Source organism: Homo sapiens, chromosome 14 (genome assembly GCF_000001405.40).
Source record: "Homo sapiens chromosome 14, GRCh38.p14 Primary Assembly".
Classification (NCBI taxonomy): domain Eukaryota; kingdom Metazoa; phylum Chordata; class Mammalia; order Primates; family Hominidae; genus Homo; species Homo sapiens.
The window spans coordinates 92,790,088-92,813,143 of record NC_000014.9 but is presented as its reverse complement, the minus strand read 5'-3'; the positions used below and the strand labels follow the sequence as shown (position 1 = coordinate 92,813,143).

General features: G+C 40.9%; 1 protein-coding gene across 3 annotated transcripts in view, besides 5 other annotated features; it reads right to left on the bottom strand.

Moving 5' to 3' along the window:
- The window catches only part of GOLGA5 (golgin A5), a 45,643-nt gene extending 26,804 nt beyond the window's left edge, over positions 1-18,839 (bottom strand). For 2 of the 3 annotated variants that reach the window (NM_005113.4, XM_011537420.4), the window contains exons 1-6: positions 18,688-18,839; positions 15,163-15,736; positions 6,181-6,408; positions 3,625-3,844; positions 2,767-2,890; positions 1,390-1,593 (exon numbers count right to left, since the gene is read on the bottom strand). In NM_005113.4, the coding sequence (NP_005104.4) occupies positions 1,390-1,593; positions 2,767-2,890; positions 3,625-3,844; positions 6,181-6,408; positions 15,163-15,706 (1,320 nt within the window). In that variant the 5' untranslated portion in view covers positions 15,707-15,736; positions 18,688-18,839. Of the gene's footprint in view, positions 1-1,389; positions 1,594-2,766; positions 2,891-3,624; positions 3,845-6,180; positions 6,409-15,162; positions 15,737-18,150 lie in introns of all 3 variants that reach the window. The other variant, XM_047432021.1, reaches the window with a different exon arrangement.
- Positions 17,900-18,443: an enhancer, noted in NCBI's record as "NANOG-H3K27ac-H3K4me1 hESC enhancer chr14:93261046-93261589 (GRCh37/hg19 assembly coordinates)". NCBI's record gives its function as "activates a minimal SCP1, AML or CMV promoter by ChIP-STARR-seq in primed H9 embryonic stem cells {active_cell/tissue: H9 hESC(primed)}" and the evidence as "EXISTENCE:reporter gene assay evidence [ECO:0000049][PMID:30033119]".
- Positions 18,444-18,988: an enhancer, noted in NCBI's record as "NANOG-H3K27ac-H3K4me1 hESC enhancer chr14:93260501-93261045 (GRCh37/hg19 assembly coordinates)". NCBI's record gives its function as "activates a minimal SCP1, AML or CMV promoter by ChIP-STARR-seq in primed H9 embryonic stem cells {active_cell/tissue: H9 hESC(primed)}" and the evidence as "EXISTENCE:reporter gene assay evidence [ECO:0000049][PMID:30033119]".
- Positions 18,646-18,715: a silencer, noted in NCBI's record as "silent region_6040". NCBI's record gives its function as "represses an Ori minimal core promoter by ATAC-STARR-seq in GM12878 lymphoblastoid cells {active_cell/tissue: GM12878}" and the evidence as "EXISTENCE:reporter gene assay evidence [ECO:0000049][PMID:35858748]".
- Positions 18,786-18,975: an enhancer, noted in NCBI's record as "active region_8945". NCBI's record gives its function as "activates an Ori minimal core promoter by ATAC-STARR-seq in GM12878 lymphoblastoid cells {active_cell/tissue: GM12878}" and the evidence as "EXISTENCE:reporter gene assay evidence [ECO:0000049][PMID:35858748]".
- Positions 19,011-19,158: a silencer, noted in NCBI's record as "fragment chr14:93260331-93260478 (GRCh37/hg19 assembly coordinates)". NCBI's record gives its function as "represses an EF-1alpha promoter that drives an FKBP-Casp9 reporter gene in an ReSE screen in K562 erythroleukemia cells {active_cell/tissue: K562}" and the evidence as "EXISTENCE:reporter gene assay evidence [ECO:0000049][PMID:32094911]".

Genomic DNA, 23,056 nt, shown 5'->3' with positions numbered 1-23,056 from the left:
GTAGCATTAAAAAAAGGTATTCATAGCCATTAGAAGTTTGAGACTAAAGAAAAAAGGTAAAGTCAAAAATGACCCTGAGGTTTCAAGCTTTACTGCCACATGGCAGTAACGTTGACCAGAACAGAAGAATGAGGGAGAAGTTGGTCTGGGAGCTGAACACTCCATGCCTGCACAGTAGGCAGCTGGGCACTGAGGTCAGGAGGTCAGGCTTGGAAACATGCTTGAAGTCATATGCAGGCGGCTATTAGAAGCAGAGGCAGCATACAGCAGTGCAAGGTAAGAAAGGACAATGAAAGAGGGTTCAGGACAGAGCTTAGGAGGACTCTGACTCTTTGGAGATTGGGAAGAGCGCCCAAGAGAGACAGAAACAGCAGTAGAAGAGGACAAAAAGAGAGCCAAGGAGATGTGAATAGCATAGAAGGCAGGAGTTCCAAGGAAGTGGGAGGGTTAACAGAGCCAAATGTTCTACCAAAATACAAGGTATGGAGACTAAGAAAAGGACAGAGAATATTTATTTAGGTCATCAAATATTTTTGAGAAGAAATTTCAGACATGTAGTAGGAAAAGAAGGAGATAAGAGTTAACAAGTTCTACAGAAATGAAGACAGCACGTACACAATTCTGGTAAGCATGACACTGAAAGAAAGGAAGATAGGGAAATAGTGCAAAGTGGTCACAAAGCTAAAAGAGACTGTTTTTCTCTTAGGCAGGAGTCCGAGATCTAGTCTTCATTTTTCCACTAAATAACCATGTGCTCTTGAGTAAGCTGAGCCAGAAGGCAGCAGCAGCAGAGAGGCACACACAGGAAGGAAGGGCATAGATCTATGGAGAAAGGGCTTACACATGAGATGGGAGATGGAATCAATGCACAGGCAGGAAAATGATCCTAGAAAAAAATGAAAGGACATGTTTTCCCTCTGAGGGACAAAGGAAAGAGAATTCAAAAACGACATTAGATGACTGTAGTCTTTCTTAGTAAAGTAGAGGGTAAGATCACCTTAGATCTGAAGGAGGGGAAAAAAAGCTGGGTGAGACAATTCTGAGAACTGGATGAGTCCTAAAGCAGTTGCTGCAAAAATTCAATAGGAGATCAACAAGGAAGAATAAACAGCTGCTCAACAACAAGCATTAATATCATCACAGTGAGTAAGGTGACAGGTTGAAGACCTGAACTAGGCAGTGGCAGAATGAATTTTTTTTTTAAAAGAAGTGGTAGGAACAAGAAACACTGCATCCTTTAATAAAATTTCTAAAGTAGAGTAAGGCACCTAAAGCTAGCCAATCAGACGAACATGAACAAAGCACCTCACACAGTATCTACACAGTCTCAAATTGCCTTTCAGTTAACTTGCACATCTTAACATCCAAAAGTGTACATTTCATGCTTACTTGCAGTATTCTAGTAGCTTTTTGCTTGTAGTCAATTAATTCCTGCTTAGAGGACTCCAAGTTCAACTTATACAGCTTGACTTGCTGCTGCAGTTCATCAACCCTCTTCTTCTCATCTGAGTATTTTCTTTCGGCCAGTGTAATTGCTTCTGCTAAATTCTGACGTTCCATTTCCACTTTATTAAGGCGTGCAGCAAACTCGCTCTGTGACAAATTTTTATATCATAATTAATGATATCATTTAGCTTTGAAACATATTTTACAACCATCCATTCGGATATCTTATGGGATTTATTAGCTCAGCCAAACAACATAGTAGGGATGGGAAAAAATTCTTAATTTGTTAGGAGCTAAAGTATAGGAAATGTAAAGTTGTAACTCCCAAACATGGCAATGCATTAAAATCAACCAGGAAGTTTGTTAAAAATATAGCCATCCAAGGCCTTTCCCAAGCTTACTAAACTGGAATTTTCAAGATGGGTCTGGGAATCTGTTTTTTAAGAAATTTCCCAGGTGAACCTGGTCACTTGGATACTAGGTCTGGTCTGATACTAGCTGATCAACTGTTTCCAATTTAATAAGTAAATAAATAGGTGTAAATTACACCATATTTTAAAGAACCAGTATTCAAAAAATAATGTAAAATATCTCATTAATAACTTTTAATATTGACTACATATTGAAATAATTAATACTTTGGATATATTGTGTTAAAATTAAGAGACACACACTACCTGATATTTACTTTCAGGACTGAATTACTTTCACCTGTTGAAAAGCTAGCCCAGACCAGTGGTTTGCAACCCTGACTGCTCATTAGATACACCTGTGAACCTTCTAAAACCAAAGTGTCAATACCTAGTCCCTACCTCATACAATGGAATGTGACTGCATATGGAGCTCAGACAGCACAAGGTATCACACAAGTGATTCCCACGTGTAGACAGGGCTGGGACTGAACTAAATGCAAATATTCATCTAAGAGTAAAACTCTTTACATATTACATACAATTTTCTCCTGAAATAAATGAGCCAGATTAATCTGGAATCAGAAAAACTTAAATTAATAAAAAACAAATACGATCCCCCAACCATTAGCATTTAATCAAATAATGACAATGATTGTTGCAAAAATTAAGTAAAAGATGTATATCTCTAATGCACATTAACTATTTTAATTGTCTCTCAACACATAAAATTAAATACATTTAGCAAGGATCAAGCTAAATTTTCAAATATCTGATTTTTGTCACAGAAACAGAATTTTCTGAAATGCATTGCAGAATTATATTAGACAGTTAATGTGCTATGAAACAGCATAAAGTCATTTTTTCCGTGTCCAAGTAACAATAGGAATCTGCTGTCTCTCATTCTAACCTGCATCTGTTTATAGCTCTCCTGCTCTCTCTTCAGAGTGGCATCCGCTTCATGCAGTCTCTCCTGAAAAGTCTGCAGAGCTTGATTCTGCAGGCTGTTACCTTCACTTTGATCCTGCATTATTCTAAAGGAAAATGCATCATGTGAAATAACTCATGTCTACAGTGTACAAGTGATAAGGCAGAATAATTTTTAGAGCGTCAGCTTTAGTCAAGCACAAAAAAGATAATTTGACTGAAATATTCTTAGATAAATCTTTCCTTTCTAATGGAACATAATCTACATTTTTAGGCATCCAAATATTAAGTACATACCGTATAATGAAAGATTAATGACACAACAAATGCTTTTAAATTCAGAATTTGCTAACAATGCATCTCAAGGTTCAAACAATGAATCCATTTTATGTTGTTGTTGTTGAGATGGAGTTTCGCTCTTTTTGCCCAGGCTGGAGTGCAATGGCACAATCTCAGCTCACTGCAACCTCCACCTCCTGGGTTCAAGTGATTCTGCTGCCTCGCCTCCTGAGTAGCTGGGATTACAGGCATGTGCCACCACCCCCGGCTAATTTTTTTTCTGTATTTTTAGTAGAGACGGGGTTTCTCCATGTTGGTCAGGCTGGTCTCGAACTCCCAACCTCAGGTGATCCACCTGCCTCGGCTTCCCAAAGTGCTAGGATTACAGGCTTGAGCCACCACGCCCAGCCAATGAATCCATTTTAATCATACACATTTCTAACACTACCAAAAGAAATATTCCCTCTTGTAAATTTCCAAGAAAGCTAAGTTTCATAAGTGGATACACTACAATGTTTACCATTACTTGCTCATTTTTTTCATTATTCATAGAATCACCTACCGTGATTTTTCACTCTGTAAGGCTTCTAATGCTTCTGTGCGAGTACTCAGTAGCTGGTCAGCTTCCTGGAGTCTCACTTTCAGTACAGCCAGCTGGGAATCCTTTGCAGCCACAGCTTCAGTCAGGTCATCTACTTGGGCTCGGAGTCCTCGAGTCATTCGATCACTCTTTGAATGGTCAGCATTCCACTTTTCAACTCTTGCTCTTGCTTTGTTTAATTCTATTAAAAAATTTAAATTTCTCTATACAAGCAAAACCAAACACATTTTTCTCAGAGCACGTACAGTTTCTACTTTGAGTGCCTTTAGTACTTTCCTTATTGACAAAATTGGGAACTTACACGTCTTCAATTTTCTTTGCCCCAAAGGGTCATCCACTTTTCAAGGGCAATATTCACAGCTAGATTATAGTTAATTGATTAGAAAGGGGCGTGAAGCTAGCTGCTCTTCTACAATGCTGTTTCTATATGATAAAGCATCTGGGAGCCGAAACTAGTATTAATAGATAGCAGAGTATATTTTGTAAAGTTCTGCTAGTGACAGGGAAAGGAATGCAAATCCAAATCAAAGGTACATCCTAGTAAGAACAAAACAAAACCTAAACACAGAAAAGAATCTATTGCTTTCAATTACTGTTGCAAAAAGATGTTATTCTTTTGACCTAGGAAATCAATGCAAAAAGAGCAAAGTAGTGCTCTATTTCAGAATACAATGGCATTTCCATACCCTCACATACCATATGTAATTGCAGTTAGCCACCACAACATTTTAAAAATACTGAATCAAACTTTATAGGGTCTCAAAGCTTTTTTTTTTTTTCCAGTGAGACACACCTTTCTTAAAGAAAAAAAAAAAAACCCAAAAACATGAGACAGAGCCTCACTCTGTTGCCCCGGCTGGAGTGCAGTGGCATGATCATGGCCCATGACTCACTGCAACCTCCAACTCCTGGGCTCAAGCAATCCTCCCACCTCAGTCTCCAAAGTAGCTCAGCCTACAGGTGTACACCACCATATTCAGCTAATTTAAAACAAAAAAAAATTGATTTTTGTAGCCCAGGGGTCTCACTCTGTTGCCCATGCTGTTATTGAACTCCTGGCTTCAGCAATTTTCCCATCTCAGCCTTCCAAAGCGCTGGGATTACAGGCGTGACTCACTGTGCCTGGCCAAACAGCTCTATTTCTATGTCTAAATTAGTGTGGGTAAAGTAAAGCTTTTTCTAAAGTCAGCCTGACTAGTGAGTACTTTGTTTTTGTTGTTGTTGTTGTTGTTGTTGAGACGAGTCTCGCTCTGTAGCTCAGGCTGGAATGCAGTGGCACGATCTCGGCTCACTGCAACCTCCACCTCCTGGGTCCTGGGTCTGGGTTCAGGCAATTCTCCTCCCTCAGCCTCCTGAGTAGCTGGAATAACAGGCACGCGCCACCATGCCCAGCTAATTTTTTTGTATTTTTAGTAGAGACGGGTTTCACCATGTTGGCCAGACTGGTCTTGAACTCCTGACCTTGTGATCCGCCCGCCTCGGCCTCCCAAAGTGTTGGGATTACAGGCGTGAGCCACCACGCCTAGCTTAGTGAGTCTTCAACTATCTTCCCTTTCCTCTCTTCTAGGCTCTATCCATGGCTTGGCAAAACTTTTCCCACCATCCCCTCACTCCTTTCTAATTAGCCCCAGGAACCAAGGCAGCAATTTTGTCACTCGTTTTCTTCTCAGCCACACTTACAATAACATTCACATCTTCCTCAGTCACTACCTCCATAATGAGATTATTTCCTTCTTAATTACCTATTTCTGAGGAACTTGAGGTTTTCTACTCCAGGGCCACCTCACTGCACAATTCCCAAGGGCACTGAACTGAATTCCATGTACCTTTTATATGCCCTAGAGCAGCAACACTGCAACTCTATTAGTGCCTACTACTTTGTTTAATGGAACAGCTTCCCTTGAAAGTTCAGAATAAATGAATGAACTAGACTACTACTAGTTTGTTCCTCTCAGTTCTTCAATTTCATGGTTCTTAAAGGATGACCAAAGAAGCGAATACTCTTATGTTTTGGGTTGGTGGGAGGATGACTGGTCCCATTTCCAAATCTGGGCAGTTTTTCTATGAAAATATCATTTTACAAGTCGCATCTAATTTCTCACAGTTTAAATGTAAATATTTCTAACAGTTTAAAGTTTTTAAGTTTATTATTTTATTTTATTTTTATTTATTTATTTTTGAGATAGAGTCTTGCTCTGCTGCCCAGACTAGAGTGCAGTAGTGCAATCTCGGTTCACTGCAACCTCCACCTCCCTGGTTCAAGCAACTCCCCTGCCTCAGCCTCCTGAGTGGCTGGGATTACAGGTGCCTGCAACCACATCTGACTAATTTTTTTGTATTTTTAGTAGACACAGGGTTTCACCATGTTGGCCAGACTGGTCTTGAACTCCTGACCTCAGGCAATCCGCCCGCCTCGGCCTCCCAAAGTGCTGGGATTACAGGCACGAGCCACTGCGTCCAGCCTTAAGTTTATTTTTAAAAGTTAAATTCCTAATCCTGAACAATTTAAGCCTCTACCTTCTTGAGTCTCTTTGGATCTTTGGAGTAACGAGGCCATTTCTTGATTTAAAGACTGAACTTCATTCCTCAGCAGCTGATTCTCCAGTCGAAGGTTAGACAGTTCATGTGATTTGCCATCATCATTAGGTGTTGGGGTGTGGTCAGGGCAGGCAGCATTTGATGACACATTTTCCTTTGAAGATTCCTCTTGACCTTCATGGCTAGAATCTGAGTTACTGGCAGCTTCTGTAAAAAAAAGAATACGTTTTTGTTACATTGGCGTGTTCATCACATATGCATTAACAACTTGCTTTGGTAGGATGCTCAAGTTGACTGCTACAGCTAAAACACCATAAAAAGTAAATTCTCAGCTAGGCGCGGTGGCTCATGCCTGTAATCCCAGCATTTTGGGAGGCCGAGGCAGGGAGATCACTTGAGGTCAGGAGTTTGAGACCAGCCTGACCAACACGGTGAAACCCCATCTCTACCAAAAATACAAAAATTAGCCAGGTGTGGTGGCACACACCTGTAGTGCCAGCTACTCAGGAGGCTGAGGCAGGAGAATCACTTGAGCCTGGGAGGCCAAAGGTGTTGCAGTGAGCCAAGATTGCACCACTGCACTCCAGCCTGGGCAACAGAGCGAGACTCCATCTCAAAAAAAATACATAAATAAACAAATTTTCAATAGTCTTCCCTCTGATTAAATTTCATTCTCATAAATGGGGCATATGGACCTCTAAGGATACTCAAGTCTGGATACACTGAATGAATGACAACAGACAGTACAACACCATTCTGGGGAGAACATCAGAGATCATGTGAGTGGTTGGGTTCAGGTAAAATGGGTTTGGATTTCCTTTTGTCTCCAAAATGCTTTTGGGAAAAAAAACCAGGAGAAGTCTCAAATACTGAAAAATTGGGAAGGCACAATAGAGTAGCTGCAGGTTTCAAGGCAAGAAGAGTAATAACAGGTCACTACAAGGTTTTTTGTTTTTTTTTTTTAATCAAACTGGAATCTAACATGTCTTACCCAAAGAGATAGAGACACATGAATTCAGATTAATCTTGTTTTTGTTACTAAATATAATGCAAGTATACTTTTAAATTACTCTAAAAATTATGTGATGAAAATGAACTATATATCTAAATAATAAAACTGACTAAAACAATCAGTATATGGGTAAAAGACTTGATACTTTATAAGGTTATATAAACAAATATCAATAATCAAATGAAAAAGTTCTGAACATGTTTAGTCATCAAGGAAATGCAAATTAAAATCACAATGAGAACCAACAGACACCCCCTAGAATGGCTAAAATTAAAAACACCAAATGTTGGTGACACTGCAGAGCAACTAGACCTCTCACTGCTGGTGGGACTATAAAATGGTACAATCACTGGGGGAAAAGGTTTTACAATTTCTTATGAAATTAAACATGCAGCTACCGTTTCACCCAGCAATTCCACTCCTAGGTATTTATACAAGAGAAATGAAAACATTTGCCCACAAAAAAGCAAGTACAAAAATGTTTATAGCAGTTTTATTCACAATAATCCAAAACTGGAAACAAACCCAATGTCCATAAAAGAGAATAGATAAACTGTGGTACAGCCGTATAATAGAGTACTACATAATAAAACAGAATAAAAAAAGAACAGTAACATGGATGAATCTCACTAACAGTTCAGTAAAAGAAGCCAGATTAGAAAGTATATATACTATATGATTCAATTTATATGAAGTTTTAGAACAAGCAAAACTAAGGAGAGAAAAATCAGAGCACTGGGTGCTTTCAGGGACGGGGTGAGGAGATTAAGTGGAAAGGAACATGAGGAACTTTCTGGGGCAAAGGAAATCTATAACACGGTAAAGGTGTGGGTTACACAGGTATTGCCATTCGTCATATAGCTAAGATTTGTGTGCATCTTAATATATGTACATTTTACCTAAAAGAAAAAATAACCACAAAAAGCTAATAATCAAGTGGGGTAGGGAATGGGCACCTAAGACGTGACTTAAAAATGGGAGTGTTGGCAGGGCGTGGTGGCTCACGCCTGTAATCCCAGCACTTTGGGAGGCTGAGGCAGGCGGATCACAAGGTCAGGAGTTTGAGACCAGCCTGGCCAACATAGTGAAACCCTGTTTCTACTAAAAATTAGCTGGGCATGGTGGCGGGTGCCTGTAATCTCAGCTACTTCGGAGGCTGAGGCAGGAGAATCGCTTGAACCTGGGAGGCAGAGGTTGCAATGAGCTGAGACTGCACCACTGCACTCCAGCCTGGGCAAAAGGTGAGACCCTGTCTCAAAAAAAAAAAAAAAAAAAGAAAGAAATTATTACATTTTTAAGGTGATAATGGTGTGAACATTTGCTTTTAGAGTATTTTTAGAGTAAGAAAATGAAATGTTTATAGAAAAAATGATATAAGATCTGTGATTTGCTTCAAATTAATTGTGCGGAGGGTGCAGGTGAAGAAAGTGATGGGAAATGGGAGGGTATAAATGAAACATGAATGGCCATGAGTGATTACTGTAGTTGGATAATAGGAGGTCATTACGTTCTATTTTGGTATGTTTGAAATTTCTAAAATAAAGATTTTAAAAAGAAATGAAGTAGGCCAGGCGTGGTGGCTCACGCCTGTAATCCCAGCACTTTGGGAGGCCGAGGAGAAAGGACTGCCTGAGTCCAGGAGTTGGAGACCAGCCCGGGCAATACAGTGAGAACTCGTCTCTACAAAAAATTTTTAAATAATATAAAAAATAAAATATTAAAATTCAAAAAATAAATTAAGTATATATCCAAATGTGGGATGATATCTAAGGCAGTATTCTGAAGGAAATTTATAGCCTTGGTTACATTAAAGATGAAAGGCAGGAAGGAAGAAAACTAATGAGTTGTATATCCATCTTAAAAACTATAAAAACAGCAGAACAAACCCAAAGAAAGCAAAAATTAACAAAAGAGGAAATAAACATACTAGAGAGGATCAGCATAACCAAAAGTGGTTCCCTGGGACAGATATAAACAACATTAGGCCATCAAATTTTAAAATGTACAAGATACTGAAATCTATCAATTGCACAATACTTATCGTGCAGTTTATTGCATGTGAATTATACTTCATTAAAGCTGTTTTAAAAAGCAGGCATTTAGTGCAGTGCCAGAAACAGGGTAAGGATTCAATATATGCCAGATACTGATATTCTTCACACAGTATGCATGATCAAGCATTGGTTTTTGCAGGGTTGGTATGAATAACTAATGTTTGGTTGCGTTGAAAGTTTCAGCTGTGACCCCTACATTATTTTCCTGAAATTAAATAAGTATAACCCCTCAAAATGTGTATGACATTGACAAATTCTTGGGGAAAAAAACGTAACTTACCAAAAACAGATTCAAGAAGAAATGAAAAGCCAACTGAATCAATAGTTAAAACCTTTCAGTAAGAATACCCCAGGTCCTGATGGTTTTAGCACAGAGTTCTAGCAAACGTTCAGGAAATAAATAATCTCAGTCTTACACCAATTAATTAACACAACAGAAAAAGAAGGAATACTTTCCAATTCATTTGATAAGGCTAATATAACTGTAATACTAAAACCTAACAATATCGCAGGCCGATTTCGCTTATAAAATAAATGCAAAAGGTTAGGTGTGGTGGCTCATGCCTGTAATCCTAGCACTTGGGAGGCCAACACAGGAGGATCCCTTCAGCTCAGGAGTTCAAGACTAGCCTGGCAATATAGTGAGACCTTGTCTCTACAAAAAATGAACAAAATTACCTACGCATGGCGGTGTGTGCCTGCAGTCTCAGTTACTATTGAGGCTGAGGTGGGAGGATTGCTTGAGCCTGGGAGATTGAGGCTGCAGTGAGCTGAGATCCCACCACTGCACTCCAACCTGGGCGACAGAGTGAGATCCTGTCTCAAAATAATAAAAATAATAATAAATAAAAATTAAATTAACTAAATAAATGCAAAAATCCTAAAGGGAATATTAGCAAACTGAAAGTTAAGTTTGGTTTTATATTTAAAAGTATCAACTGGAGCTGGAGCTAGGTGCAGTGGTGTGCACCTGCATCCCAGTGAGTTGGGAGGAGGAAGTGGGAGGATTACTTGAGCCAGGAGTTTGGGGCTGCAGTGCACTATGATCATACATGTGAATAGCCGCTACATTCCAGCCTGGGTAACACAGCAAGATCCCATCTCTATTAAAAATAAATAAATAAATTGATTTATTAAAAATAAATAAATTGATTTGTATACTATATTAATATTAAAGAAGAAAAACTATATTATCTCCAAGGGTAGAGGAAAAAACATTGCTAAAATTCAACATGATAAAACCTCAAACTAGACATTTATGGGAACTTCCTTAAACAAATAAAAAAACTATAAAAAACCTAATGTAAAATCATACTTAGTGAAACAAAGTATTCCCTCTAAGACAAAGAACAAGATACAAAACTGGTCGTTGAGTCCTAGCCAATGAAGAAAAGGATTTTTTAAAAGATAAAAGGGCTAAGAAGAAACAAACTGTCATTATACACAGATAATTGTGTTGTTGAAAATCTAAATTTATGTCCAGAAAAACATGAAGATTAAGAGCCATCTAGATTGCTATGTATGTACACACAAAAAAACAACAAAAAATACACCAGCAATAACAAAGCAAAACATTTTAAGGAATACCACATATAATTGTTTCAAAAAATATAAACTACTTAGGAATAAATCTAACATAAAGTATATAAGATCTTTATGGAGAAAACAATAAAATTTTAATGAAAGACACTACAAAATATGTTGAAATTATATCCCATTGGTGGATAAGAAAACTCAGTATAGCAAAAGTGCTGACTCTCACCAAACTGTCTATATAGAAGCAATTAATTCCCAATAAAAAGACCAACAGAGTTTCTGTGAAACTTGATGAGCAAATCCTAAAATGCATACAGGAGTGGAAAGGTCCATGAACAGCCAAAACATTTCTGAAGAAAGACCACAAGGTGGAAGAAGCTACCCTATCAGTTATCAAGACACATAAAACTACATTAATTAAAACAGGGTGGCACTGGCACAAGGATACACAAATAAACCAATAAAACAGAATTAAGTGGCCAGAAACACACTAATGAATACTTGATATATAAGACAGGTGGTACTGCAAATTGGTAGGGACAAGAGACTCTGTTCAATAAATGATGCTAGAATAGCTGATTTCCCTATGGCAAAAAAAAAAAAAAGAAAAAGGGAATTGAATGCCTATCGCACACTATAGAAGACAATACAGAAAAATATCTTTATGATCTCAGTGTAAGGAAAGATTTTCCAAGACACAAAAAACACAAGCCACATGCCATCTACATTAAGAACTTCTATTCATTGAGATGCCATAGACAGAGGGGAGGGGAAAAACCAAGGTAAAACTGGAGGAGGAAAAGAATTTAGAATTTAGAATATATAAAGAATGTCTATGAATCAAGAAGAAAAAAGACAAATAATCTAACAGAAAAAAGTTGATAAAAAAGACTTGACACTTCCAGAAAATGAAAGTTCAATAGTCAAATATCTGAAAAGATCTTCAACCACACTAGTAATGAAGGAAATAATATCAACGACAAATCTGATCAGCAAAAAGTAAAAAGTCAAATTGAAAATAAAAAATGTTGGTGAAAATGTGGAGCAAAAGAAGTTCTTAACCATAGCTGGTTAGAGTATAAATTGGCACAACCTCTGCAGAAAGCCACTTTGGCATTACTAGTGTAGCTGAACATTGTTAAACCCTACAGCTCAGCAATCCCATTTCTACACATTTCTAGGCATCTCAGGACATTGGTTCTCAACTGGGATGATTTTGCCCTGCAAGGGACATTTGGCAATTTGTGGAGACATTGTTGGTTGTCACAATTGGGGGTGCTACTACCACCTAATGGGCTAAGAGGCCAGAGATGCTGCTAAACATCCTACAAAGAACAGGAGGGCTTCCCACACTATTGAATTAATTTGGCCCAAAACACCAAGTCTCAAGGTTGAGAGGTCCTACCCAAGAGAAACAATTTTTATAACTCCTGTGTATTATAACCAGTTCTAATTCATTTCCCTGACAACGAGGTTCCCTTTAGGTCCATTCTTTCTAATTAAATGCAAGCTGCTTTCTTTAAAAGTACAAAAATAAGCTATGTCAACTCTTGACTTAAAGATCTCTACTAGCATCACACTGGCTATGGCAGCCACTTTCAACTTTTATTGGCTAAGAACCACCCACAGAACAACAACAACAAAATCAGATGCCCTGGCTCCATCCCCAGAAAATAACGATTCAGGAAGCCTGGGAAGGCACTCAATAATTCATTTTTAAATTAACAACACACAAGCGATTCTAAAGCCTGTTGTTCAGGAATCAATCTTTAACAATGATTATAGAAGTAATGGGTTTAATTGCATAAACAGTATGACACAAGGGCCTTCACAAACAGGTCCCAACTTTGTTTGCTAGCTACATTTTCTTCATCACCCTCCAACTCACTCAGTGTTTCCAACTTTGTTACAATGTTTTCTACTCTACTAGCCTCTTAGAGTCTGTTCTCTCTGCATGGAATGCTGTCTCTAACTTTTTACCTGGCAAACTCCTGTTCATTCTTTAAGACCCAGCTAAAAATACAGACCCTCTGTGAATCCTTTCTGAATACCCTAGGCAATTAGTTACTTCCTCCTTCATACTTCCACAACACTCTGACCATACTTAATTGCTACATTTACTAGACCACAAGTAAATTATCTGTTTACATGTCTAGCTCACCCACTGGACACTTCCATATCCTTGCACCTAGTAGGTTCTTTGTGTAATTAATTGAAAGATAGCTGAGAAGAAATTTTGGAATATGTGAACATATTAATCAACTGCTACTGCCTGATCCTATTTTCACAACCCAAAACGTCTTCTTCTATACAAGTTTTTGTCTTGAAAATACAAGAAAGATTTTATTCACTAACAGCCAAGACAATGAAAGAAGCTATAACATCCAAGAACATGACAATCTCCCATCAATAATCAACTCTATAAAGAATCCCTGGCCAGGTGTGGTGGCTCACGCCTGTAATCTCAGCACTTTGGGAGGCCAAGGTGGGCAGATGACTTGAGGTCCGGAGTTCAAGACCAGCCTGGCCAACGTGATGAAACCCTATCTCTACCAAAAAATACAAAAATTAGCCAAGGGTGGTGGTGCACACCTATAGTCCCAGCTACTCGGGAGGCTGAAATGGAGAATCGCTTGAACCCAGGAGGTGGAGGTTGCAGTGAGCTAAGATCGCGTCACTGCACTCCAGCCTGGGCGACAAAGCGAGACTCCGTCTCACAAAAAAATAAATAAATAAATAAATAAAAACATTAAAAAAGGCCAGGCACAGTGGCTCACGCCTGTAATCCCAGCACTTTGGGAGGCCGAGGCGGGCGGATCACAAGGTCAGGAGATCAAGAGCCTCCTGGCTAACAGTGAAACCCTGTCTCTACTAAAAATACAAAAAAAAAAAAAAAATTAGCCAGGCGTGATGGCAGGCGCCTGTAGTCCCAGCTACTTGGGAGGCTGAGGCAGGAGAATGGCATGAACCCAGGAGGTGGAGCTTGCAGTGAGCCAAGATCAGGCCACTGCACTCCAGCCTGGGTGACAGAGTGAGACTCCGTCTCAAAAAAGAAAAAAAAAAAAAAATCCCTATGGCCAGGCCACGGTAGATCATGCCCATAATCCCAATGCTGTGGGAGGTCAAAGTAGGAGGATCACTTGAGCTCAAGACCAGCCAGAGCAACACAGTGAGACACTGTTTCTATTAAAAATAATTTTTTAAAATTAGCTGGGCACAGTGGTGTGCACCTATAGTTCCAGCTACTCAGGAGGCTGAGGCAGGAGGATCGCTTGAGCCTGGGGAGGTCAAAGGTAGTGCGAGCTGTGATAGCATCACGGCACTTAAGCCTCGGCGATAGAGCAAGACCCTGTCTCAAAACAACAAAAGAATCCCTGCAAGAACCTACTATCAAGTTTTTTGCCTTTTTTCTATTTTTATCTTTGGAGACAGCGTCTCATTCTACGGCCCAGGCTGGAGTGTAGTGGTACAATCTCGGCTCACTGCAACCTCGACCTCCTGAGCTCAATCAATTCTCCCGCCTCAGCCTCCCAAGTAGCTGAGACTACAGGCATGCACCACTGTGCCTGGCTAATTTTTGTATTTTTTGTAGAGACAAAGTTTTGCTATGTTGTTTAGGCTGGTCTCAAACTCCTGGGCACGAGTGCTCTGCCTGCCTCAGCGTTCCAAAGTGCTCGGATTACAGGTGTAAGCCACCACGCCCAGCCTATAGCTATTTTAAAACAGTTAGTAGGTACTTGAATTAGCCACATTTACCACGTTAATCTCATTTCACAAGAAAGAAGGTGTACTTGTAGAGGTAATCTCAGAGGGAATTAAACAATTGAAAACAAGAGTTCTAAGCTCTTGCTTCACTACTAGGTCAATGCCTTCAACTCTTCAACTTGGATCAAAGTTCAGTCTCTCAGCTTTATTTGTGGAGGATGTGGGGGGAAAAACACACAAAAAACACAACCCAGAAAATACGTGAAGTACAGCCTCCTGTCATTTTTATAATCCTAGTAACAAAAAGATATCAACTGGGATAGTCCCCGATCCAAACTGACATGTTTTCTTTCAGATTTCAAAATTTTCTTTTTTTAATCTTAAAATGTCTTAGAGAAACAAATTTGAAATACTTTGTTAGATGCTGAGTGGGTGAAGTTGCCCTCCAGACAACATGAAGTCCCTGCTACAACTGTCTATTGACTAATAGTAGTCAATGATGTCTCCCTTGTTTACACCACACATTTGCAGAGAGTCTGCCCTTACACCAGTGGAGACAGATTCCATAACAGTAGATGAGAAACACCATCGGATCATATGATGACACATTCAATTTGCTTAACTCTAAAAGAAATAAGAGGACTGATTAACTACCGTGGGTTTGGCTCCCAAAAGAATTTTCTTCAATGGTTTTGATGGTGGTTACACTGGGGTTCACAGAACTGACACTTGATGTCTGAGAGCTCTGAAAGACAGGTGTCTTGCCTTTTTCCTTTCTGATTTCCACCCTCCCGGTAGGCTCCTTCTGTGAACTATTAAGAAAATCAAACAGCAGCTCATCATCAGGTTCTGACTTTTTTCTTCGCACAAAATGGGATGAAGGCCTAGGAACAGATGCATTTTCAACAGGATGAGAGGCCTCTACTGGTGTCCGAGATCCTACTTTCACATTTGCAGTGCCAGCTAAGATGGTGGCTTTTTGATTTCGAATGTTATCAGCTGCTGATGAAATATACGTAGATTTAGGTCCAGTCTGATATATCAAATCTGTATTTTGCTGGTGAAGTTCAGTATAGTCAGTATTTTTGCTATATATGTTGCTGGCATTGTCTTTCCTACTGAGAGCTGTTGCAGCCCCTTGATCAACTCGGTTTAAAAGATCTTCTGCCTTTCCAGCAAGATCAACAAACCAAGACATGATGGCAGCAGGATAATCCTATTGGCAAACCTGTAAAAAGGACATAAAATGATCAGTGTGGCATAGTGGCAGAGTATGATAAATGGTTAAGACCAGACTCTGGAGTCAGGCAATCCTGGGTTGAAATCCTAACCCTACCTTTTACTAGCTAGGTAACCTTGAGAAAACTACTTAAATGAGGCTGAGAAATCTTATCTAGAAAATGGGGGGGAAAGTGTACTTACCTTATAGGATGGTTTTATGATGAAATAATATATAAAAAACACTTTGCAAAATGCTTGGCACATAATAAGCACTCATTTTAGTGGCTGCTATTACCATTATTACAACTACCACTACTGTTTTTATTATTATTTCTATTTTTATTATTTATTATTACTATTTCAAAGTAATAATAAATTACTGTTTTTATTATTACTATTTCAAAGAAGGGCAAATCTTTTTTTTTTTTTTTTTTTTTTGAGACGGAGTCTCGCTCTGTCGCCCAGGCCGGACTGCGGACTGCAGTGGCGCAATCTCGGCTCACTGCAAGCTCCGCTTCCCGGGTTCACGCCACTCTCCTGCCTCAGCCTCCCGAGTAGCTGGGACTACAGGCACCCGCCACCGCGCCCGGCTAATTTTTTGTATTTCTAGTAGAGACGGGGTTTCACCTTGTTAGCCGGGATGGTCTCGATCTCCTGACCTCATGATCCACCCGCCTCGGCCTCCCAAAGTGCGGGGATTACAGGCGTGAGCCACCGCGCCCGGCCGGGCAAATCTTAATGTAGCAAAAGCATCTGTTATGGGCTGAACTGCATCCCTCCAAATTCCTTTATTTAAGTCCTAACCCCCAGACCTCAGAATGTGACTGTTTTTGGAGATAGGATCTCTAAAAGGATAATTAAAATGAGTCGTCAGGGTGGCCCCTAATCAAATATAATTGGCATGTCCTTCTAAGAGGAGGAAATTTCAACACAAACAGGCATACAGAAAGGACAGAGGGAGAAGGCAGACATCTGCAAGCAAAAGAAGTACGCCTCAGAAGAAACCAACTCTGCCAATACCTTGATCTTGGACTTCAAGTCTTCAGAACTGAGAGAAAATAAATTTCTGTTGGCCCAGCCAATCAATCTGTGGTACTTTGCTACAGCAGCAAATTAAAACAACATCCAAACAGCAAATAACCAATATGGCAAAACTCCAGTACAACCAAATAAAAATAAAATTCACTGAAGTTTGTTTTAAAGTGCTAAAACTTGAAAAAACGTTTCCGTTAAATACAAAAGCTATCTTAATGTTAAACTGCAGCACTATTACATATAATTTAGGTGTGCACATAATTTATCTAAAGTACATGTTCAATAATTCACATACTCAATACCTACCATGTGCACATTAAGCTAAGTCCAGAATAAAAACCAAAATTGCATAACCACTCATTCCATACATATATTTGAGTACTTATTGTGTGCCACAATACATCAAAGTAATGATGAAGATATAGATACAGAAGGGCTCTATAATAAAGTCCACAACCATTTCTAGAATGTGCACGTTGTTCCTTTTGCCAAGAACTCTTTCATGGTTAACTTTCTTGTTCTTGGTCTTCACTCAAATGTCATTTGCTTCAGAGTTCTCCTTTCCAGCTAAGTTAGGTCAATCATTATCTGTACATACCCTATTCTTTTGCTTCACAGTCCTTCATGTTTTATAATTACGTATTTTTTTAACATGCTTCTTGTTCTTGGGGAAAGTGGGGCAGTGGCTGGATAAAGATTATGTCTGTTTTGCTCACCAATGAATTCCCAGAGTCTAGCACACAGTAGGCACTCACAAATACTGCTGAGTGGAATTTTTATATGACTGATGCTGTACACAGGTACACATGTATCTTTTATCACATGTAATTTTCACAGCCACGTTATGTGGTAAACAGCAATATCCTTTTTTTAAAGCAAATGTGGAAAGGGTTTAGAAAGATCCCAGAGTTTAGACAGCAGCTCAGATACTCAAGTCTAAGTTACCCTAGTGCCAAACCTACTTTTAACCCTTGCCTCCCTATACCATACAGCTCAAAATCTAAAAAACCTCAAGAAGAAACTCATCCTTTAAATCTGTTCTTTACACATGTGACTATTAAATGCCTATGTATTTCGGAGTTTATAAAAAATCAAATGAAAATGGAGATGAAATGCTCTGTAACATACAGAACACCATACAGGCCAGGCACTGTGGCTCACGCCTGTAATCCCAACACACTGGGAGGCCGAGCGGGGAGGACCACTTGAGGCCAGGAGTTTGAGACCAGCCTGGGCAACATGGCAAGACCCTGTCTCTACAAAAAAAGTAATAAAAAATCAAAACACGCTCATTAATTCTTTATATCTTGCCTCCCATTTCAAAATTAATTGGGCTTTAAAACATACCATGCAACTGCTACTAATGTTGCAATTAATGTCGATTACCTAATTAAATACTTAGATGGGCCCTGGGCAAACATCTCAAAGACACGAAGGACTTCAGAGGCACCCGTCAATTCCCCAGACACTGCCCAGGGGCAGAGAGTGCGTGGGATGGGGATGGGTCTGCAAAGGGCTGCGGCAGGGCCTGCTTCGAAGGCCAGGCGTCAGCACAGAGGGAGGGAGGCTGGAGGTCAGTCGGTCAGGCCCAGTCCGTAGAGCCCTGGGGTCTGTCAGTTTGGGGAATCTCAGGTAAGCGAGCAGAGACCCCCACTCTGCTCCCCACCCATCTCGTTCCGTGCGGGAAGAACGGCCAGGCCAGGCAGGGGTCAGGAGAAAGGAAGACAGAGGAGGGCAGTAAACGACGTCGGCTGAAGCCCAAGGAGTCTCTCCAGTTACCCTCCTCAGCCCCTAACAGGGCGAAGATGAGCGCGACCCGAAAGAAAACGGAGAGACCAGGGTCTCCACTGAAGGGACTGCGCCCCCGCTCCTAGGACCGTTAACACCCCCGTCTCGTCCAGTGGGCCCTCGCCTCCGCCTCACCTGAGGACTCCGGAGAGGCTGCACTACGGCCTAGCCGCCGTCCTGGGCCGCGCCCCCTCGGCGGCTGGCCCGGAGGGGGCCCAAGCTGAGTAAACCTCCTCCCCGACCCGCCGGGGCCCTGCTACCGCTTCCGGGAGACGTGGAAGGGAAGCGAGGACCCCACAACAGAGTGGCTTTCGAGCTGCCTGCACGGCAGGGAGACGCGAACAGCCACCTGCAGGCGACTCAGGCGGTGGCGCTGGCGGCTACGGGGTCCTCGCGCATGGCCACGCCCCTTTTCCGCCCGCGGCGAGAACAGGCGCGGCGCATGGCCTGCGTGCGTGTGACGTGGCTCGCCGCCGGTGGACGGCCCGCACGCCGTGAAAGGCCACACCCACAAAGGGCGGGGCCTTACTGCGGGCCACGTGGGTGACCAAAGGCGGTGCCCAGCCTGGAAGGAACGCGAGGCCTGAGTTGGGCGGGGCTTGAGACCCGGGTGGACCGGCTAGACCTCGTGTTTCTCCCTTTCCTCACCATCTCCCCTAAGTTTTACAGACGAGAATGCCAGAGGTCCACGGCAGAAGGTGGAAATAAGAAAACATGATCCGGATTGCATGGCGCTTACTTTCTAGTGGCAGAGACAGATATTACGTAACAGTGAATGGACAAGACAATTTCAGGGCGTTACCAGAGTTGTAACGACAAGAAAACGGGGAAAAGTGACTGGAGGCACGGGAGGTACTTTAAATCAGGTGGTCAGGGAAGGTCTCTCTGAGAAGATGATATTTGAGCTGAGACCCAAAGGATGGAAAAGGCAGTATTGTGGTTATGTTATGCATACAGTTCATTGACTATCTGAAATAAGTCTAAAATCCACATTCACTAATTCAAATACTCAGCACCCACTATGTGTACAGGATTGGGCTAACTTGGCCCTAATGACAAGCCTACAACACAGTTCCAAGTCTCAAATCTTTGAATTGAGGAAAGTAAGGTTCAAACAGTTTAAATAACTTGTCTAAGATCATCTGTCCTAATAAGGAGTCCACATTACTCCAAAGCCTATTCCTCGTAGACTCAAAGCTTTATTGTCTCCAAATTAAATATTGGAAGTAATTACAGCTCCTGCTTTTATTGCTCTCAGGTGAGGTTTAGCCCAGTACGGTGAAGAGAAAAATTTTCAGCAGCACCAGGAGGTGGTAATCATAATAATGGCATCTAACATTTATCAAACCTTTTATTAAGTGTAGAATACTGTGTTAAGCATTGCATGTGCCTCACTTCATTTTAATCTCACATGCATAAGGAAGGTACTATTATTCTCTGGTAGGTGGTATTGTTGTTCCTAACTATTAAGTTGCTTTTCCAGTTAAGGATTACACATCATCGCCCGTTGCCATGCGACTGCAGTGCATCCTGTAGGAGGAGCATTCTTTCCAGCCTCACTGATGTCAGGCTTGATTGTATGATCTTCTTTTGGCAGGGGGTCTTTCTGAGCAGTAGTATTAACAGTTATTACGTATTTCAACCAGAGAAATTTTTCCTTTCATGAGAATAGTCTGTGTCAGATGGGGCTGCTCTTTCAGCCTTGGTCCTGGAAGAAAAAGGGGATGTGAAGCAGCTCACATTTGAGATGTCACATGAGTGACATATAAACTTTTGCTGTTATAAGTCACTGAGATTTAGGATTGTTTTTTACACAGCCCTACCTAATAAAATCATACTACTATTAATATATTAAACCATTTTACAGATGAAGACACTGAGATTCAGTGAGGTTTAGTTACTTGCCCATGGCCACATAGAAGCAAAAGTAGAACAACTGGGATTCAAACTTGGGACAGTGTGACTCTAGAAACAGTGTTTTAATTGTCGAAGGGATGAGAATGAAATAAGTTGAGGAGGAACCAGTCTTCCACTGTATTGGACGAAACCTGACCTGAGAGGAAGAAAAGCAGGAGCTGTAATTACTCCCAATATTTAATCTGGAGACAAAACTTTGAGTCTAAGGGCACAGGCTTCGGAGTAATGTGGACTCCTTGTTAGGACTGATGATCTTAGACAAATTACTTAACCTATTTTTTTGGGTTTTTTTTGTTTGTTTGTTTGGTTGGTTTTTTGAAATGGAGTCTTGCTCTGTCGCCCATCCTAGAGTGCAGTGGCGCGATCTCGGCTCACTGCAACCTCTGCCTTCCAGGTTCAAGTGTTTCTCCTGCCTCATCCCCCTGAGTAGCTGGGACTAGAGGCGTGTGCCATGATGCCTGGCTAATTTTTTGTATTTTTACTAGAGACGGGGTTTCACCATGTTGGCCAGGCTAGTCTCAAACTCCTGACCTCAAGTAATCTGCCTGATCAGCCACCCAAAGTGCTGAGGTTACAGGCATGAGCCACTGTGCCCAGCCCTTAACCTGTTTGAGTCTTACTTTCCTCAACTTGAAGATGAAGACTAGGGGCCATGTTGTAGGCTTGTCATTAGGGCCAAATTGGCCTGATCCTGTGCACATAGTGGGTCCTGAGTATTTGAATTATTGAATGTGGATTTTAGACTTAATTCAGATATTCCAAAAAATGGCAATGGGCAGGCCCCAAAAAAGAGTATTTCAAGAATTCCCACATATACCCCCTAAGAGGTCAGCATATAGATGCCTGCCATGCATACATTATTGGGGCCAGGGTGGATTAGCCAGAGAAACAGCACAACAGAGAGAGGCTACAACCTTGCCCAATGGGTCAGAAAATTTGCTCTTTTCTTCCCACCTCCTCCCTGCCCTAATGCCACCAGTGGAGCTAAAGCCTAGAAAAGAAAGGGGAAGAAGGAAGTCTCTAGAGCTGTAGGGCAACCAAGCTAGTCTGCTCCAGAGATCAGGGGAAAGAACTTTGAATAGAGCTTAAGGATGAAGTTTTAAACAAATGGGGCTATATTGTGACTTCTGGAATGGCAGAGTAAGGAATTCAGCAAATTCTCTTCCCCAAAAAACAATGATGAAATTGGACACAATTGTAAAAAACAACCATTTCAAATTCCTGGAAATCCACCACAGGTATAACATAAATTAAAATGCATTTATTCAAGAAAAACTATTAAACCTTGGGTAACAACAGTGAGAGTCTGTGACACGTTACCATGGGGAAATTCCCAATCCCTCTCCTCCAGTTCCATGGGAATAGTTCTGTCAGGGCTGCGTAAATGTGAAAACCAGCAGCTTTGCTGCCAGAGGGGGCTGACTTGGTAAGGAGTGGTGCCAGCAAAACCCCATGGCCAAGGAGAAAGGTTGATTGGGAATGCCAACATCACAATTACCTGGGCTGCAAGACTGGTTGAGCAAACAGCTGATTAGAAAGCCTGCTGGAAGTTTAGCAGTGAGATCCAGGGAATCAGATAGCCATAGTGGGCTTTGGCGATGCGCTTATGGTCTGGAAGGCTGTGTCAGTTCAGGAGAGTCTGGCAAAAGCCCCAGTCATCTACTCAACCCTGGCGGAACATGAAGCCTTGCACAGAGGCAGAGGAGACACAGGAAAACAAAAGCCAGAGAAGCCTTGCAGAGATGCAGAGGAGACACAAGAAAACCCAGCAAAACAAAAGTCAGAGCAGTCTTGTAAATTGCCTGAATTTTGAATGTTCTTCAACCCATTTAGATGACACAGGTCCATCAAGAAAGGGTAGAAGTCTTACTGGCTTGAGGTGTCTAATTACCACATCTGATCAATCATTGACTAAATTCTAAGCTATATTGACCTTGGTGAAAACCTTAGAAAACCAACCTTAGAAATAAACGTAAAAGAGAAAAAAATAAAACTGAGCAGAAACATCAATGTCAACACACTATGGAAGAGAAACTCTGCAGAATTAGTCCAGGCAAGTCACACAACAAATGTATAAACTAAGAAAAACAACAAAAAACACCCTCTGAGGGGCACACCAAAACACAGGAGTTGCTACACTATATTATCTAAATTGTCCAGTTTTCAATTAAAAAAAAGCAGACATGCAAATGAACAGAAAAATTGACCATACACAGAGGTGAAAATCAGTATAAATGTTGTGAGATGTTGGACTTAGCATATAAGGACTTCAAGGAAGTTACTCAACCATGAGATCAAGTCTCACACAGCACATCTACTCTATTTAAAAAAAAAAAGAAAAAAAATATGTCCAAAGAACTAAGTGAAAATATGGCAGCCAGCTGTGGCAGCTCACACCTGTAATCCCAGCACTTTGGGAGGCCAAGGCAGAAGGATTGCTTGAGCTCAGGAGTTTGAGACCAGCTTAGGGAACATAGTGAGACCCAGGCTCAAACAAACCAAAAACAAAAACAAAAAAATTACAACAATGCTTCATAAAATAGGGAATATCAGTAAAGAGATAGGGATTATTTTAAAAAGCAATGGA